General features: G+C 38.9%; 2 annotated features.

Moving 5' to 3' along the window:
- Positions 883-992: an enhancer, noted in NCBI's record as "active region_16612". NCBI's record gives its function as "activates an Ori minimal core promoter by ATAC-STARR-seq in GM12878 lymphoblastoid cells {active_cell/tissue: GM12878}" and the evidence as "EXISTENCE:reporter gene assay evidence [ECO:0000049][PMID:35858748]".
- Positions 16,073-16,605: an enhancer, noted in NCBI's record as "NANOG hESC enhancer chr2:148070432-148070964 (GRCh37/hg19 assembly coordinates)". NCBI's record gives its function as "activates a minimal SCP1, AML or CMV promoter by ChIP-STARR-seq in naive H9 embryonic stem cells {active_cell/tissue: H9 hESC(naive)}" and the evidence as "EXISTENCE:reporter gene assay evidence [ECO:0000049][PMID:30033119]".

Consider the following 19,310-nt stretch of genomic DNA (forward strand, 5'->3'; position numbering starts at 1 on the left):
GGCTTCTCTGCCTCTTAGCTGCAAACCCCTCTAGGATTTTTAGACTCTCTCCACTGGCCAAGAATGATAAATATCTCTGGAAGGAAAGCAGCTCACAAAATATCAACTCATCTCTCAATAATTACCTTCTTTTCTAGTAACTTGGCCCCTAAGTTACCTCAACTGTTCACCAAATTCTTCAAATACATCCTTTTTATATTTTGTCCCATTTTTCTATTGTTCTCAGTGGGAGTGTTGTTCTACCATAAGCTAATACATCATGCACTTTAGGATCTACTTTAATGATCTTTTAACTGAACATACATCATAGTTTAACATGACGCAATTTAAGTGCAAGTTCATAAAAGAACTAGCTCCTGTCCCCATTTTTCTGTGGCATCTTATTATTTCATGTGATATAATTTGAATAATGGAGAAAGGGTGGGTCTCTGCCCAAAAACATTTTATTCACATATATTTGTTACTTAAGATCCAACTTTAGGAAATATGTTCAAAGAATTATCTCTGTTCATATATAAATATCTCTAGAAGAAGTTTGGCAGTCATTAACATTGATGACGACGGATATCAGACTTTTATAAGAGGAGGAAGATAGAGGAAAAATAGGAGTCCAGGTCCTGCTAAGGAGAGAATTCCATGACCGGGTAGCCAGGAAAAAGAAAGGAAAGCCACAATGTGAGAAAAGTACCCTGAGAGGATCAAGCTTTTCTATATCCCAATTTTGGCCAGGACTGGCTCTAACCTGTCAGGATATTGTACCTCTATCCAGATGAATAAATACTAGGAAGAAGCTTAATGTTCAACAAGGTTGGATACTCTTCTTAGGGGCTGAAAGGGAGCAACTTTGTCTGCTGGCTTTGTAGAGGGTGTATAGCCCAACTAGGCCTGACCTATTCACTCCTTTTCTAATTTTCTTATTAGTAGACAAATGTTTCCATTGATCCAGCATGTTAATTTTTTTTCCCCGAACAATAATGAAACACATGGAAAAGTCTTGTGCTTGCATAGAAAAAAGTAACACATATGAAAGAAATGAAACTTTTGATCTTAAAGTGCTTGTGCTGTGAACAACATGTGCTAAATCAAACACTTTCTGTATACCCAAACTTTAGTCTTAGATTTGGTTTGGACTAAAGTAAGTTCTATTACTCATTGTGAAATGGGTGTGTTTCCTGTTTCTCTGGAAATGGGTGCTGGTTTGCATCAAGAGGCTTCATAAAGAAAGAGAAAAACCGCAAATCACTATACATGATCAACATTTGCCATTCTACTAGCACGTTGCTACAGCTGCTTCCAGCTTTGCTGGGGTAAAACACTGACACCTGTTATTCAGCGAGGTATATGTGGGATGGATGGAGCCATGAGAGGGAAGCCACAATGCCAACATGCTGCAAATGGCATTTTATTTGTTTCTAAAATTAAATGAAAATGGTTACAACCCTAGCCAACCTTGACCTTGGGCTCTCAGGGCCAAATTTGTTCTAAAACCAAGAAATAACACCTATATCTCAAAGATTCACAGGTGGAAAGAAATGGAAGACTACTCCTACAAGCAATGATTAATTTCAAATTAGGTGAATAAAAAGGAAATAATATTTATTAAACTCCTACCACATACCTGCTAGGCTCAGGGCTTATTGACCTTTTAACATTTAACTTTCACATTACTCCCATGATAGCTGGGATTATTCTCATTTTTCAAAACAGAAATTCATGGCTCTGAAAATTTGGATCACTTCCTGAGATGACCCCACTAATGAATGGTAGGTATGAGATTTAAGGCTGGGTGCTTCTGATTTCAAAGCTCATTGCTCCATGATGCCAAAATATCCACTTTGTATCATCCTGTCTTCTGGATTTTTTGAAGACCTTACTGCCATAGTAGACCATATTCAATGCCTTTTAAAATCACATGGAGGCATGTGTGCCTTATGTTTCACAGCGAGACAGCTCCATACGTAAGTTAAAGCCTGAGCACATAGTTGCCAGGGCCCTGATAATATCACCCTGGCATAAACTGACATAGTGGTAGGCCTCCTCAATTCAAGTTCTGTCAAATCCAATGACTTAATTAAAGCCCTGGGAATGATGGGAATTTCAATAGCAGGGCACTCTGGGAGCTTTCTATAATCTAAAGCAAATACAGAAATAAAACTACAGGAGAGAACCTATCAAAACCACAATATATCTATTACCACGGCTGTTTCTTCTCAGACACTAGGCTCCCTCCTGAGCCTATTATTAAGTGCAAATGACCAGGCTCAGTTACTGTTATTTTTAAAAACATTACTTATCGTGCATTGTGTTCTGAAACTTGTTGACTTATTTTAATTTGCATAATTATAGTAATTTTCTCCTATGTCAATGCTGTAGGATTATATTAGGATTTTGCCTTTTATTTAAAGAACTTTGCAGGTTCAAAAGCACATTGTTGTCATATCACTTTTGACCCTTTCAGGCAGTTGAGAGGCAGTGATGATGGAAGAATATATTTTGCTAAGTTTACTTCTTGGCTCATGATTGGAAGAACTGGCAGAGGTTTGAGAGACCAAAAAAGGGAAACAGAAATGAAAGAGATTAGGAGAGTAAAAGAATGTAAGGAGATGTCAAAACAAAGGGAAGACAAGCTCCTCCTCTGTAGAGCTTCTTCAGAGTGTACTTTAGTGTTTATTATAACATTTGCTTTTTTTTTTTTTTTTTTTTTAGCAACTCAGGGTACTTGGTCACATTTTACAGAAAATGAACTTATGAATAATTACTCATCTAGTTTGCCTTAGAGCCAGGTTAGAAAAGAAACCTGTATCTCTCAGCTCTTGATCAAATGTTCTTCTCCATGGAATAAATACTTCGTCCAAGAAGATTTGCACAGCAAAATATTCAAAGGACTGCTAAGCTATTAGGTGTCCACCCTTACATTGTAGAATAAATCAGGAAGCTTTCCACTGTGTGATCAATTCATTTATTTTATTTTTAAGAAAAATTGTCTATATTTACTTACCATATGTCCAGTGCTTAAATTCTACTTCCCCAAGTATTTTCACAGGTACCCCCAGGTTCTTCTGGTATGTCTTGAAACCAAAAAAATAACAAACCCCTGATAACATCAAGACAGCAGGATTCAGAACTTGGCTCCTGCCCATCAATCCCAAGTCCAAGGCTGTCCAAGGAAAGTACAGTCAGGTTCACATAAAATCCAAAACACTCTCCCCGAACTCCAAAAGGGAGATGAAGATAGAAGCTCATGGCCCTAGAAGATGCCATTACCATTCTGTTCCTTATTTCTCTTTTTTCTAAAGCTCTGTGGCCCCTCAGTCAGTGGAAGGACAATCAAGCAATTGAAACAGCCCAGAAGGACATGGGAAGAAAGGGGGCAGCACAGGGACGCCAATAAAGCTTACTAGTCTTGTAGAGAAGAAGAAGGGTTTCTGCATGGGCCATCTGACCCTGCAGATGAATTTCCAACTTTCTTCTAAGCACGGTCCACTGGATCACTCATCATGCCTTCAAATGCCACAAGATCTAAGTCAAATATATCCTCTTCTCCTCTTAAGCCAGTTTTTCTTTATAATTCTAAATTATAGAATTATAATTTACTACTTACTGCAGGAAGGTTATGAGGACCAGATGAAAGAGAGAATATACAAACATCTGTAGGCACTCAGAAAAAGTTGCATCAACTCTTAAAATGATTTTTCTCATTTCCAGTGTCATCACACAAATTAAGCCTTTATTGGAACTCACACTGATAATTGCAATATGTTCTGGCTTAATGGCTCTCAAGTGCATTGGCCCTAGTGTTCTCTTCCAGTATTATACACGTATGGATGCCACAGTCAAAACATCCCTCCCTGTTATCAGAACACCCCTATGCTTCCTCCCTATTTCTCGGTTTCTTCCCTAGTATCCCCTTCCCATGGAATGTTCTGCTTTCCCTTCTCTTAGCGCATCTCGAATTTCTTTACTTCCATAAAGTCTTTGTTTGATTTTTCATATTACATCTGATACCTACCATATTGTCAGTACATTCTACTCTAAGAATTTCATTAGTGTCTTCCTTGTACCACTGTCCAATTCCTTGTGTGTTAATCATATGTCCCTGTTTCAGCTTCTGCGTCCCAGTTTAGAACTTCTTTACATCAAAGTCTTACTTATCTTTATATGCTCAGGGTCTAACATAATGCTTTCCACAAATTTTTATTGTTTTCAATGTGTTCTTGGAAATACTTTTTTTTTTTTTTTTTTGAGACAGAGTCGCGCTCTGTTGCCCAGGCTGGAATGCAGTGGTGAGATCTCGGCTCACTGCAAGCTCCGCCTCCCGGGTTCACGCCATTCTCCTGCCTCAGCCTCCCGAGTAGCTGGGACTACAGGCTCCTGCCACCACACCCGGCTAATTTTTTGTATTTTTAGTAGAGACGGGGTTTCACCATGTTAGCCAGGATGGTCTCAATCTCCTGACCTCGTCATCCGCCCACTCGGCCGGAAATACTTTTTTTAACTGATCATATAGTAACATAGGATACTATCAAATTGAATTGTAATTACTTAGGAAAGAAAACTATACAGCCAGCTTTGAGATTCCCAGAGATTACTTAAGATGTCACCAAAACATGATTGAAAAATCAGTCACTAATCTGAACCAAGGCAACTCTAAAATAAGCTATTATGTCTTAGAATAGAAATAAGAAATGTTTTAGCTACAAAAATAATAGTATTGACTTTAAATATGTTATTGAAAATAATCTCTCTTATTTGTGAATATATATTCACATATATGGTGACATATATGGCATATATATATATTCATACATATATATTGATGACATATATATATATGTGTCACCAATAAGAAAGCTGAGGCTTAGCAAGAATGAATAGTTTGTGTAAGGCAGCATAGGTAAAGAAGAGTTAAACCAAGACTCAAGACAAGCCTTTCTGTCTTCACTGGCTGTGCTTTTCTCATCACTTTGCACCAACTGCTAGAGTTTTATCAACTCTACTTATGAAAACTTCAAGTCCTTCCTGGGTTTGGGAATAGGCAAAGAAAGATTAAAATACAGCATTTCCTGAGTCACGATGTTATAATCTAGGGCTTGGCAAACTTTTGCTGTAGAGGACCAGATAGTAAATATTTTAGGCTTTGTGGACCATATGGTCTACTCAAATCTGCCATTATTCTGTGAAAGCAGCCACAGAAAATATGTGATGGAATAAGCATGGCTGTGTTCCAATAAAACTTGGGAAACTTTAGAAAAATCAGACAGTGGACCCAATCAGGCCTGCAGGGTGTAGTTTTGACCCCTGTTAAAATCTACAATAAAGGTTCACCTACTGTCATGGCAAAGACGTCGGCAAAGTGCTGTCTTGTGCTAGTATGAAACATTAATGAATTAATCATTCATATTACACTTGTATTAGATATTTAGGGCACAATACTGCATAAAACATGGAAATTGACAAAATTATACATAATTACAACTCCGAAACACATGTTATTCCCACAACAGAAAATGAGATAATCTACTAAAACACATTTTAAAAATCTGAAAGTGGAAAGCATTTCTTTCCTGCAGTTGTTTGAATTTAGAGTATGTCATTAATAGATTTTAAGTCCAGAAAATAAATGAAGCCAAATACCTATGACCTTTGGTTTCTACATTCCCACTCCTAAAATAAATGATCCATTCCAGTGAGTGTGCACTATAGTACCCCAGACTAGAGATGATTCAATAATAACCTAATCTTTCTTAAGAAGAGGATTGTGTAGGAAATCACAGCATGCAGGATATAACTTGCTCTTAATAGAGATGTTTTGTTTTCATATAAGTGAGTGGAAATATTTGACCCAACATGGCAGACAATTTATTTATAGAGAAAATGCCTCTTTCCCTTGTGAGCTGGTTGAGAGCATTCCCTGAGATCTTCAGGTTGGTCATACAATTGTGGAAAGCTCACACAATGTGAGGTTATGGCTGAGTAAAGAATAGGAGGCACACTGCTTTGCTGTCTCTCCGGGAAGCCTGCCCTAACCTCCACAGCAGAAACTCTATCTCCTTTAGATCTTCTCTTATACTCATGGTTCAGAGCCCTCATTTGTTCCTATGTACTGTCTGGTATTGTTACCCATTTATTTCAAATATATGTCTTATTTTTAGAATTAGATTGTAATCTTTGAAATGGGATACATGGGAGTCTAAACCTCAATTTCACTTTTTATTAGCTTTGTGATTGTTGCCAAACTATTCATCTTCTGTGAATCAGTTGCAGATAGTAATAGCATCTATTTCATAGGCTTTTTGTTGGCTCACATTTAGTAACCAGCATAACCATTGTCACCACCATCACTATCATCGGTATTTTCATGCCTTCTCCTCTATTAAGTTTTCATTAACTGCCCAACCACAATTCATTGTTCACCACCTCACAGAATTTTCAGCATTGCCAAATACTTTATCATTTTTATGCTCATTAGGTCAACCTACTCCCAACAGAATTACCTTCACTTATTTATGTCCTGGGATTGTTATTGAGGGTAGACATAAAAAAAAAATTCATTTGAAAACCACCTATCTGTTTGAGGTACAGCTATAGATAAAAAACACTATGTTGTTCAATGTTCCTTTTATAAGGTCAGTTGTGATATGAATTAACCGAGAAAATGTCACCTTTTCTCAAAAATCAGAACACTACTTTCCAAGAGTAATAAGAATTATCTAACTACATTTTACTTGTTGCCCTAGATTCTCTGGATTCTGAGTGGTAATACCTCCTATTTTGTATGTTTCTTTTTTCTTTTGTGGGGCTTTGATTCTTTAAAAACAGTTCAGTGACATATATATTAACATCTCTCAATTTACATGTTGGTTAGTTTCTTGGAAAGTGGCAAGTGATTCAAAAACACTTAAATCAAACTTAAATTTGACATAATAAAAAAGGAGATATATTTTGGTAGGTTAAAAAAAAACAGTTTATGCTCCCCTTTTTTTTCCGTATCACATCAATATGAACTGCAAATAAACATTTTATGTAAACATGTGAACATATTAAAAATGTTTATTCATGAACAGAAACAGAGTCCCTGAGACTGTCCAATAGATCTACAATAACATAAGGCATGAAACCATTGGGAATTACCGCATACAAAGTGTTGCACACCAAGGTGAAAGATAAAACCCATAATGCTCATTAATTCACCTTTTTTAATGCATCTGAGAGCCTAGATTTTTACTCCACTGGTGTCAGCCTTTTTCTATTTCTTTTTCTGTGGGCCTTCTGGCTCACATTGTATTTTTTAGTCACGATTTTTACTTGAGATGGACACAGGACTCCATAAGGCATAATCTCAGGATACTTGAAGGGTATACATAGTAACTTAAAAGGATTTTGTGAGTGCTGGCCAAGCAGTCACTGTGCATTATGACGAGGGTAATGCCACATGCTGTCGACCTGACCACCAGGCAGTACTCTCAAATTAATGAAGGAACCCCTCATGCACATAAAATCTGGCAGGCAGTTTAAATCATGCCATTCTAAACTTAGGACACATATCTGCTAAATATTGTTAATTTCCTTATCACTTTCTTTCCATAACTTGCAAATAAAATACACACAAATTTACACATTGATAAATAGGTTTAGAAATACATAGTTTTAAGTTGAATCAAATATTCAACTTCTATAAGCCCTCATTTTCCTAATTATAAAACAATACTAGTATATCTCTTTCATGGAGTTGTTGTGAGAATTATATGAAATAATGCTGTTTAGTGTTTAACAGCATGCCTGACACGGTGAGTACTCATTAAGTGTTAGTCACTGTTCTTGGATATTACTGAAAAGTGACAGATGTCAGTAAATAAAAGTATTTACTGGGGTCTACTCTATCTCTAACGCTTCAAGCCAGTCTGATACATAAATTTAAAATGCCCCTATTGGTTCATGGAGGTGAAGAATAAACACCAGTCAACATTTGTTCTAACCTTATTTCCACCAAATCCCACCATTTAGCCCTAACGTTGGAAACTTCAACTAACAGTTAGCAACCAGAAACATGTGCATCTATCTTGCAGACCAACAATATTATAATTTCCTTGTGTGTAAAACTCTGTCTCTTTGTATCCATCCTTACACCCTCACCTCAGCTTTTCTACATTATGAAAGCTCAATGACAGTTAACAACCTGGCTTCCTATCCATTACACTAACCTCTGTTATCCAAGCACGGAACAACCCTCAAGCAGCAAGGAAAAAAAGAAAAAAATGAAAAAAAAGTCCTATCCTCTCTTCTCCCAGCTCATCTGCAGCTAGAGCTATGAAAGATATTTATGTCAAGTCACCCATCATTCAAGCTGAACTTGCATCAAGACAACACTATTTACAGACACTCTTATATAAGGAAAGCTAGGAGCAGCCAGTGATACATTTAAATGCAGAAGTATTCCAGAGGCCAAAAGGATGTAAATGGAATTTTCACAGCCAAAGCTTCATGGGAAAGCTTTTAAATTTTCCATTAAAAATCTGAGTAATTATTAGGGATAAATTTTAACAACCTGCAAGTAAATTTGCAACAAGTCCCCGGGTAATTCTGAGCCTCTCTTTATCTTTTCTTTTCAGCTCTCAGAATCCTAAATAGATTCAACCCTTTTTCCAAATGGACTGTCATTTACACACACACACACACACACACACACACAGTGTTGTGCTCAAGCTAATATGTGCTTACAGAGAGCTGATTGTTATTCCGGAAATTGTAAACTGATTGATACACTGTTTGTAGCTGAAATTGGCCATGGTGGGAAATATTTACACCACAGAAATCAGCAAACTCTACAAATCAGGCCTTTTTTTCCCCAGACAGTGAGTTCACCAGCACAGGTTGACTAATGTGCTGTTATTTGTGGAATTACAAGAAGTTATCAGGACTCAGCCTGGGGACATCTATAACAAAGCAAGAGTAAGATTTCCAAAAGAGAGCTCAGATGACTGAGAGAATGGCCAGCTATCAACAAAGCAAACATTTTAAAGGTAAGTTTGGGGAAATCAGACCCTGTATATTGTTAAAACACTAATACAATTTTTAACACTGCCTATGATGGTGACTCTTTTACCTATGCTCTAAAAAGCCAGTCAAGTTTTGGATCAGCCTAGGAATTCTATGTATACTATAGCTGTTTTCTGGACTAAGAAGACTGATAGAAAATAATAATGGCTCATAATAATGTAAATGTGGCTCAATCATTAGGAACAACATATGTGAATAACTGACCTGGTAATTCAGGGCCCCAAATGCTTTCTAACAGTGATTTCATGGACCAAGTCATTGTCAGTGCTCCTAATACTTAGGTACAAAGTGGATTCTCTAAATTAACAACGCAGCACACAAAGTCCCTGACAGTCCTATCTCTGTTCTGTGACCCATACATCAAAACCTATTCATTCTTTAAGACAAGGAGGGTGACAGAAAGATTCAAGCACAACTAAAGGCATTAAATATCTCTGGATCATCATGAGGAGGCAGAGGGAGGAGTAACACCAGTTGTGACAGGAATGGAGGAGCTTAATTTTAAATTGCTAAGATTAATCATCATTTCACAGTTATAAAACTACACATTTAACTTTCTTGCACTTTTTTCCAGAAGCAATTTCTTACAATATTTGTCTAAATGCAGACATTATATAAAAAAATAAACATTAATATATACCCTAAATGGTGTCAAAACTAGAACAATCAACATCTTAAAATGAATTCAGGTTTGTAAAAGGAAGAACATAAACAAGTTTTAAGCATTAAGCAAATAACCATCAAAAATAATTTTTAAGCACCAAGTGTTCACACAGCATTGCCTTCACTATATAAGTCGAAGGCAAATATAAGCTGAAGAAGTACTTCATCTTCCAAAGCCAAGAAATCGATATCTTAGTTTTATGAATAATTTTCATAGAAAATGTTACAGATGAACTCATAAAGCTTCTAGAATTTACTTTTTTATTTCCTGAACTTACTTTTAAGGATCAATGTAACAATACACAGTAACAGGTAGCCACACATGACTTCTTCCTTACATGACTCTTGTAAACTTAGGTTATTTTTACATTTTTAAAATATTATATGAAAATTATATATACACATATACCCACACATATATATACACGTGTGTATATATGTGTGTGTGTGTGTGTGTGTGTATGTGTGTATATATATATATATATATATATATATATATGATTACTATAAGGAATTGGCTCACATGATTATAAGAAGTCCAAGATCTGCAGTTGAGCCAATGGTATAGTTCTAGTCCAAGGCCAAAGGCCTGAGAACCAGGTGAGCTGATGGTAAATTCCAGTTCAAATCCAAAGGCAGGAGAAGATCAATGGCCCAGTTTAAAGACAGTCAGGCATGAAAAACAATTCTTTCTTACTCCACCTTTTATTCTATTCTGGCCTTCAACAGATTGGATGAGGCCTATCCACACTGGGGAGGACAATTTGCTTTACTTATTCTACCAATCCAAATGTTAACTTCATCCTGAAACACCCTCACAGACATACCCAGAAATCATGTTTAATCAAATATCTGGGAACCTCCTAGCCCATTCAAGTTGACACATAAAGTTAATCATCATACTGCCCAGTTGTGTAAGTTCCTAACTATAAGTCACTCAATATGACCATGGACCTTCCATTTTTTCAGAGCAAATAGAAAGTCATACATATATTTTTCTTGTCATATTTCCAATAAAATACATATGTTTTCTATTGGTTCTGTGTCTCTGGAGAACCCAGACTAATACAGATAGTAATCTTGTCTCTGACTTCATTGTCTATTCTTATATATTTTGTTGTTGCTGCTGCTGCTGTTTTTTATTTGCTTTTGCATTTGCCAAACTTTTCAGCTTTTTATGTCTATTTTTTATATTGAAACATTTCTGTAAATATCTTAATACTTCTTAGGGCAATGCAAAATATACATAAGTAAATAAAACATTTTCTATGTCATTTTCTTTAATCTTTAAAAATCAACAGATAAAAGTTTTTAATATTTATTAGCTACTTTTACCTTTTCATTAAGATTTTACTATTCTTTTCCTTTGCCTAATATCTATGGAGTGGTTGGTTATGTTTGTTTGTTGGTTGTTTTAACTAACAATAAATAACTATTATTTTATTAAGGCTAATGCATATGATGTAAATACATTTTTCAATTTGCTACTTGTCTTTTAAATGTTTATGCTGCATTTTGCTATACAGAAGTCTTTTACATCCTGTAAGAAGTCAAACTTTTTTTCTCTCTTAGTTATGGTTTTCCTTTTGATCTCATGTTACAAAGCCCTTTTATAGTCTAGCATCATAAAGACATTTACCTAGTTTCTCTAAATTAATGTTTTATTCTTAACAGTTTTAGTTCTTCTGAAGCTTATTTTTAATAACTTTTAAAATATCTTACTATTTTTACACCCATTAACCAACTATTTCATCTTTTACCACTGATTTTACACAACATACACAACTTATTATGTATTAGGTCTCTTTCTTGGCTTTCACTTCTGTTCATTTAAAATTTTCCATCTATTTTGGAGCTACTACAGTTCTACTACAACTATTTTAACTTTATAATTGGCTTCAGAATCTGGCAGTATAAGTTCCCACTCCTCACTCTTCTTCTTAAAAATCTCCAGGTATTTTTTCTTCCCAGTTTTTCACATAAATATGAGAATTATTATTAATCCTCCGTATTGATACACATATATATATAGACACACACACTCAAAGTTATATTTGGATTTGTATTAAATTTATGAATAACTTAGATGGCTAGATAATACAAATGTTTATCAGCCTGATAGAAATAAAAAAGGTACTGTCTTTGATGGCTTTGTTCCCGAACTGGTAAAGTCACAGCATATTTAGTTTGACCTGATCTGGTAAAGAACTTCCAAATAAATCAAAACTGGATAGTCATTTTTTAAACTATATTTTAAGTTCTGGGATACATGTGTAGAACATGCAGGTTTGTTACATAGGTATACACGTGCCATGGTGGTTTGCTGCACCCATCAACCTGTCATCTACATTAGGTGTTTCTCCTAATGCTATTTCTCCCCCAGCCCCCCACCCCCTGACAGGCCCTGGTATGTGATGTTCCCCTCCCTGTGTGCATGTATTCTCATTGTTCAACTCCCACTTACAAGTGAGAACATGCAGCATTTGGTTTTCTGTTCCTGTGTTAGTTCACTGATAGTGATGCTTTCCAGCTTCATCCATGTCCCTGCAAAGGATATGAACTCATCCTTTATATGGCTGCATAGTATTCCATGGTGTATATGGGCCACATTTTCTTTATCCAGTCTGTTATTGATGGGCATTTGGGTTGGTTCCAAATCTTTGCTATTGTGAATAGTACTGCAATAAACATACGTGTGCATGTGTCTTTACAGTAGAATGATTTATAATCCTTTGGGTGTATACGCAGCAATGAGATTGCTGGGTCAAATTTTTAAGCTCCATGGTAGAAACTTGGATTTGAAACTTAGGGATCTGTCCTAAAAAATCTTTTCTAGTATAAATCCTGTATTTCAAGGAAGATAATAATGTTAATGGGAAAAATACTTCTTTAAAGGCCAGTAGCCTAAAATACTCACTAGCTTTTGGCTTTCTTTGCTTTTCTTGGTATGTTCCTTCCTTCTTTCTCACATATTTAGCTTGTCAACATTCTGTATCTAAGATGTTCATTCAGCTAATGCATAGTTTATCATTTGAGAATATAATCATTGATTTTGCTCTACAAAATCCATAAGAAATATATTCTAATTTGTGAAGTAAGATGAACATGATCCTCAAGGTTACATAATTTAGATTTTACCAATTGTATTGGTCTTTCAGTGCAAACATGTTTTCATAATTATATATTAAGAAATCATTAAATGTTAATATGAAATTATTTTATAATGCAATCAAATACAAAGCATTTTGGTTTGGTCTATTAAGCAACATAATGCATGTGTGTGTGCATGTGTGTGTTTATTCATGCTTTATCTGGGAAAATATTTATTTCTGTCTTGAGGCTTCAGAGGTTTGCTTAATTGGGTCTTCATGTTGCCATAACCCAGCACAAGCTGTGATGGTAATTGTTATGTGACTAATAACACATGGCAAAAAATAAACAATAAAACATATCTACCTATATCTAGGGTATGTATGCCATAGAAAGTAATAGATTTTTATCTATGTTAAGTACAATGAATGGATTAAGTTGAAAAAGATCATGTACATCATTAATTACAAATTATTCATTTCATAGATGAGAAAACAGAGGCTCCAAGATCACGCAGGCCATATAGGGCCATATGCATTTGTCAGTCAAGCTCACTGAGACCCAGTTTCTTTCTCTGTAAAGAGATTCTATGATGATGACAGGTCAAATTTAAAAGATTGATAATTATATTATATGGCAAATAAAAGCATAGACATTACAATGAAATAACTGCTTTATCTCAACAAAATCTTAGAGAGAATGGGAAACTGAGTCCAAAATTGCAATGAGAAGAGTCTTCATAGAGTGCTAGAACCAAAAGTTCTGGACTTGAGCATAAGAAACCCAAGATGGATCCTGGTAGGCAAGAGCAGTTGCAGCAGACGGAGAAAAAGTCTTCTGCCTCTGGCTTTTATGCTGCAGGTTTTGGTGCTGTGAGATAGGCATTATCACTCATCAATCCACAAGCATATAGTACAGTATTATTCACTACAGTCATCATACATGAGGTCTCTAGAACTTAGTCATTCTACATAACTAAAACTTTTAGATCTTGAATAGTCTCATCACACACACATAGAAAAGGTAACTATGTGAAGTGATGGGTATTTCAATTAACTTGACTGTAGTAACAATTTCACAATGTACATTACATTGTCCAACAGAAACATAAATAATTTTTATAAAATAAAAACAAAAGGTTGTTAAAAAGCTATAGGCAGAAAGTAAATACAGTGGAGAAAATCTAATTTGTCTTTTTCTATTTTGAATGACTGCATGAGTATTACATTCTCACTTATGAAACTTCAAACAAATCGAAAATATGGGCAGTAAGAAATGAAAGTCCCATTCTATCCCCCACCCCTATACACTGCAAAACAGCAAATATGGCAGCCTGCTCCTTCCTCTGGGAGTTCCATCCTGGGGGGTACCAACTTGATGCCAGTCAGAACTCTTCTGTAGGAGGTGTCTGGAAATCCCTATTAGAGGTCTCACCCAATCAGAAGGAATGGGATTAGAGTCCTGCTTAAAGAAGTGTCAGGCTGCCTCCTGGCAGAGTGAGTATGCTGCACTTGGGGGCAATCCCCCATATCCAGACCACCCAGACTTTCCAGAGCCAGCAGGCAGGAACGGCTGTCAGCTAAGCTGCAGATACAGTGGCCACCCCTCCCACTGGTGGCTCCACCCCAGAGAGAGATCAGAGTCTGTTGTAAAACTCTGGCTAGAGTTGTTGAAATTCCCAGAGGGAGGCCCCACACAGTGAGAAGGTGAGAGGTGAAGCCAGCTGGACTTCCTGGGTCGAGTGGGGACTTGGAGAATTTTTCTGTCTAGCTAAAGGTTTGTAAATGCACCAATCAGCACTCTGTAAAAACGCCCCAATCAGTGCTCTGTAAAATGGACCAATCTGCAGGATGTGGTGGGGCCAAATAAGGGAATAAAAGCTGGCCACCCGAGCCAGCAGTGGCAACCCGCTCAGGTCCCCTTCCACGCTGTGGAAGTTTTGTTCTTTCGCTCTTCACAATAAATCTTGCTGCTGCTCACTCTTTGGGTCTGCACTACCTTTATGAGCTTTAACACTCACCACGAGGGTCTGCGGCTTCACTCTTGAAGTCAGCAAGACCATGAACCCACTGGGAGGAACAAACAACTCTGGACACGCCACCTTTAAGAGCTGTAACACTCACTGCAAAGGTCTGTGACTTCACTCCTAAAGTCAGCAAGACCATGAACCCACTGGAAAGAAGAAACTCCAGACACATCTGAACATCTGAAGGAACAAACTCTGGACACACTATCTTTAAGAAATGTAACACTCACCGCAAGGGTCCATGGCTTCATTCTTGGAGTCAGCAAGACCAAGAACCCACTGGAAGGAACCAATTCTGGACACATTTTGGCGACCACGAAGGGACAATCACCAAGCGGTGAGTACCATCGGACCCCTTTCACTAGCTATTCTGTCCTATCTTTCCTTAGAATTTGGGGGCTAAATACCAGGCACCTGCCAGCCAGTTAAAAGTGACTAATGCAGCCACCAGACTAAAGACATGGGTGCCAGGCTTTCTGGGAAAGAGCTCTCTTACAACCCCTGACCCCTCGAAGTTGGGAATGTTGGTTTGCCTGGAACCAGCTTCCGCTTTTCCTGTACTTCTGGACTGAGCCGAGGGTTGACAGAGAGGAAAGCCATTCAGCTCCGGGGTCCCGACAACAAGTTGGTTGACCCTGCGGCCATGAGCAGAGCTCTCAAAGTCATGTCGCCCAAGCGAGACTTGCCCATCTATCCTATCTATCTTGAACCTAGCCTCCTGGGTCCTAATGCCTGTCAGACAAACGTCCTCTCGCCTCTCTTCTCCAAGGCTAGTCCTGCTTCTAAAAACCACTCCCTGTCTCTGGTGCTTTTCTAGTTTCTCCTATAAGAATGATTTCTAGTATAAACTCCAGGACTCTATTCCCTTCTTTAGGCACCCGGGCTCACCAATCAGAAAGACATAATTTTTGCCCAAAGCCCCATCGGCGGTGGGGGGACTATCTGGAATTTTAGGATCCCTCCTCAGACTAGCAGGCCTAACAAAAGCTATTCCTCAAGCCAGGATATGCGGCACTTCAGAAATGGTATCTTTCCTGTTCATTTAAGTGAGGACAAAAGGCATCACTCTTCCAACTCTGGAGATCCCTACCCTCCCTTAGGGTATGGCCCTCCACTTCACTTTTGGGGCATAACATCTTTATAGGACAGTGCTAAGGTCCCAATACTAACAGGAGAATGCTTAGGACCCTAACAGGTTTTCGAGAATGTGTCAGTAAGGGACACTAAATCTGACCTTCCTTGGTCCTCCTTGTGGTCTAGGAGGAAAACTAGTGTTTCTGCTGCTGCATTGGTGAGCACAACTATTCCAATCAGCAGTGTCCAGGGACTGTTGCGGGTTCTTGGGCAAGAGGTGTTTCTACTGCTGTGTCAGTGAGCACAACTATTCCAATCAGCAAGGTCCAGGGACTGTTGAGGGTTCTTGGGCAGGGGGAGAAACAAACAAACCAAAACCATGGGTGGTTTTGTCTTTCAGATGGGAAACACTCAGGCATCAACAGGCTCACCCTTGAAATGCATCCCAAGCCATTGGGGCCAATTTGACCTGCAAACCCTGAAAAAGAGGTGGCTCATTTTTTTCTGCACTATGGCCTGGCCTCAATATTCTTTCTCTGATGGGGAAAAATGGCCACCTGAGGGAAGTATAAATTACAATACTATCCTGCAGCTTGACTTTTTCTGTAAAAGGGAAGGCAAATGGAATGAAATACCTTATGTCCAAGCTTTCTTTTCATTGAAGGAGAATCCACAACTATGCAAAGCTTGCAATTTACATCCCACAGGAGGACCTCTCAGCTTACCTCCATATCCTAGCCACCCTATAGCTCCCCTTCCTATTAATGATAAGCCTCCTCTAATATCCCCTGCCCAGAAGGAAACAAGCAAAGAAATCTTTAAGGGACAACAAAAACTCCCAGGCTATTGGTTATATCCCCTGCAAGCTGTAGGGGGACAGGAATTTGGCCCAACCCAGGTACATGTCCCCTTCTCCCTCTCTGATTTAAAGCAGATCAAGGCAGACCTGGGGAAGTTTTCAGATGACCCTGATAGGTACATAGGTGTCCTACAGGGTCTAGGGCAAACCTTCAATCTCACTTGGAGAGATGTCCTGCTATTGTTAGATCAAACCCTGGCCTTTAATGAAAAGAATGCAGCTTTAGCTGCAGCCCAAGAGTTTGGAGATACCTGGTATCTTCATCAAGTAAATTAAAGAATGACAGCTGAAGAAAGGGACAAATTCCCTACCAGTCAGCAAGCTGTCCCCAGTATGGATGCCCACTGGGACCTCGACTCAGATCATGGGGACTGGAGTCGTAAACATCTGTTGACCTGTGTTCTAGAAGGACTAAGGAGAATTAGGAAAAAGCCCATGAATTATTCAATGATGTCCACCATAACTCAGGGAAAGGAAGAAAATCCTTCTGCCTTCCTTGAGCAGCTACAGGAGGCCTTAAGAAAATATACTCCTCTGTCACCCAACTCACTAGTGGGTCAATTGATCCTAAAAGATAAGTTTATTACCCAATCAACCACAGATATCAGAAGAAAGCTCCAAAAGTGAGCCCTGGGCCCTGAACAAAATCTGGAGGCATTACTAAGCCTGGCAACCTTGGTATTCTATAGTAGGGACCAAGAGGAACAGGCCCAAAAGGAAAAGCGAGATCAGAGAAAGGCCATAGCCTTAGTCATGGCCCTCAGACAAACCTTGGTGGTTCAAAGAGGACAGAAAATGGAGCAGGCCAATCACCTGGTGGGGCTTGTTACCAGTGTGGTTTGCAAGGACACCTTAAAAAAGATTGTCCAACGAGAAACAAGCCGCCCCATCGTCCATGTCCACTATACGGAGGCAATCACTGGAAGTCACACTACCCCAGAGGGCAAAGCTTCTCTGGGCCAGAAGCCCCCAACCAGATGATCCAATGACAGGACTGAGGATGACTGCGGCAAGCACCCGTTCATGTCATCACCCCCTCACTGAGCCCTGGGTATGTTTAATCATTGAGGGCCAGGAAATTGACTTCCTCCTGGACACTGGCACGACCTTCTCAGTGTTAATCCCCTGTCTTGGACGACTGTCCTCAAGGTCCGTTACCATCCAAGGAATCCTGGGACAGCCTGTAACCAGGTATTTCTCCCACCTCCTCAGTTGTAATTGGGAGACTTTGCTCTTTTCACATGCCTTTCTTGTTATGCCTGAAAGTCCCACACCCTTATTAGGGAGGGATATATTAGCCAAAGCTGGAGCTATTATCTCCATGAAGACAGGGAACAAGTTACCCATTTGTTGTCCCCTACTTGAGGGAATCAACCCTGAAGTCTGGGCATTGGAAGGACAATTTGGAAGGGCAAAAAATGCCCATCCACTCCAAATCAGGCTAAAAGACCCCATCAGTTTTCCTTATCAAAGGCAATATCCCTTAAGGCCTGAAGCTCATAAAGGATTACAGGATATTGTTAAACATTTAAAAGCTCAAGACTCAGTAAGAAAATGCAGCAGTCCCTGCAACACCCCAATTCTAGGAGTACAAAAACTGAACAGTCAGTGGAGACTAGTGCAAGATCTTAGACTCATCAATGAGGCAGTAATTCCTCTATATCCAGTTGTACGCAACCCCTATACCCTTCTCTCTCAAGTACCAGAGGAAGCAGAATGGTTCACTGTTCTGGACCTCAAGGATGCCTTCTTCTGTATTCCCCTGCACTCTGACTCCCAGTTTCTTTTTGCCTTTGAGGATCCCACAGACCACACATCCCAACTTATGTGGATGGTCTTGCCCCAAAGGTTTAGAGATAGCCCTCATCTGTTTGGTCAGGCACAGGCCCAAGATCTAGGCCACTTCTCAAGTCCAGGCACTCTGGTCCTTCAGTATGTGGACGATTTACTTTTGGCTGCCAGTTCAGAATTTCATGCCAGCAGGCTACTCTAGATCTCTTGAACTTTCCAGCTAATCAAGGGTACGAGGCCTCTAGGTCGAAGGCCCAGCTTTGCCTACAGCAGGTCAAATATCTAGGCCTAATCTTAGCCAGAAGGACTAGGGCCCTCAGCAAGGAACGAATACAGCCTATAGTGGCTTATCCTTGCCCTAAGACATTAAAAAATTTCCCAGAGTTCCTTGGAATCACTGGCTTTTGCCAACTATGGATCCCCAGATACAGCGAGATAGCCAAGACCCTCTATACTCTAATCAAGGAGATGGAGAGGGCAAATACTCACCTAGTAGAATGGGAACCAGAGGCAGAAACAGCCTTCGAAACCTTAAAGCAGGCCCTAGTACAAGCTCCAGCTTTAAGCCTTCCCACAGGACAAAACTTCGCTTTATATGTCATAGAGAGAGCAGGGATAGCTCTTGGAGTCCTTACTCAGACTCACAGGACAACCCCACAACCAGTGGCATACCTAAGTAAGGAAATTGATGTAGTAGCAAAAGGCTGGCCTCACTGTTTAAGGACAGTTGTGGCAGTGGCTGTCTTAGTG

Source organism: Homo sapiens, chromosome 2, assembly GCF_000001405.40.
Source record: "Homo sapiens chromosome 2, GRCh38.p14 Primary Assembly".
In the NCBI taxonomy this organism is placed as follows: domain Eukaryota; kingdom Metazoa; phylum Chordata; class Mammalia; order Primates; family Hominidae; genus Homo; species Homo sapiens.